This window comes from Homo sapiens, chromosome 19 (genome assembly GCF_000001405.40).
Source record: "Homo sapiens chromosome 19, GRCh38.p14 Primary Assembly".
Lineage (NCBI taxonomy): Eukaryota > Metazoa > Chordata > Mammalia > Primates > Hominidae > Homo > Homo sapiens.
Genome location: NC_000019.10, coordinates 49,905,452 through 49,906,824, shown reverse-complemented (window position 1 = coordinate 49,906,824; position 1,373 = coordinate 49,905,452). Strand labels below are relative to the sequence as shown.

Below are 1,373 nucleotides of genomic sequence, written 5' to 3'. Positions count from 1 at the left end.
CAGCTGCTGTTAATATGGATAAATGTTAGGAGGAGAAAGCTGAGTAAAAAGAGCAGGTTCCAGGAGACTCTGCAGGGGTGCCATTCACATGAAACGCACAGGCAAGCAAATGAAGTAGTGCTTGCATAGACATAGGGGTATGCGATGAAGCAGCTTTTGTTTGATGAGACAGAGTAATAGACAAATGCAAATCGTGGTTTGCTCCAGGAAGGGGTGGTGCTAGTGGTAGAAGAGGAACACACGAGTGAAGCCGCCACGGGGAGTGGGCTCCAGGTGTTTTGTGACAGTTATGTCGTAGAATATACACAAATATGGCTGGGCGAGGTGGCTCACACCTGTAATCCCAGCACTTTGGGAGGCCAAGATGGGCAGATCACTTGAGGTCAGGGATTCAAGACCAGCCTGGGCAACATGGTGAAACCCCGTCTCTATAAAAACTACAAAAAAGTTTGGTTGTGCGTGGTGGCACGCAACTGTGGTCCCAGCTACCTGGGAGGCTGAGATGGAAGGATCATTTAAGCCCAGGCCTTTGAGGCTGCAGTGAGCCATGATCACACCACTGCACTCCAGCCTGGGCGACAGAGCAAGACTCTGTCTCAAAAAATATACACACATGTTAAGTCATCTAGTACCATCCCTAAGGCGCTATTCCAGTGGTTACAGATGTCATGGGCAGCATTCCTTCCTGTCACCTGGGGCTAAAGACACGGGCCCAATGCTCTTCCTCCACCCTCCAGCCTCGCTCTATGGACTGGAATGGTCCTAAGCACTCAGATCTCCTGGGCTGTGGGGAGTGGAGTGTACCCCTTTGGCCTCCTGCTGCCTGTTCCATCTCAGTCTGTGGGCAACACTTGGGAGATTCATGGCCCAGGTTCCAAAAGTCTCCCGAAGTCATGATCATGAGTCATTATTTCCTTGGACCGGCCAGGTGCGGTGGCTCACACCTGTAATCCCAGCACTTTGGGAGGCCAAGGCTGGCAGAACACCTGAGGTCAGGAGTTCGAGACCAGCATGGCCAACATGGAGAAATCCCATCTCTACCAAAAATACAAACATGAGCTGGTGGCTAGTTAAGTGGCGGGCGCCTGTAATCCCAGCTACTCGGGAGGCTGTGGCAGGAGAATCGCTTGAACCCGAGAGGTGGAGGTTGCAGTGAGCCGAGATCATGCCATTGCACTCCAGCCTAGGCAACAAAAGCGAAACTTCGTCTCAAATAAATAAATAAAATTTCCTTGCACCATCTTGGGCTCTGGAGGACAAGAGTTGTGTCTAAGTAGAAACCATGGGTGTGTGTGGTGGGAGCAGTAAACCAGAGGAAGACCCCACAACCCAGCTACTTCTCTCTGAAAGCTGTCACCTACAGCAGGGACCTT

The 1,373-nt window shown here is 51.3% G+C and overlaps 1 protein-coding gene across 4 annotated transcripts in view; it reads left to right on the top strand.

Moving 5' to 3' along the window:
- Positions 1-1,373, top strand: part of IL4I1 (interleukin 4 induced 1) — a 39,851-nt gene that overhangs the window by 22,680 nt on the left and 15,798 nt on the right. The gene's annotated exons all lie outside the window — the stretch shown is intronic.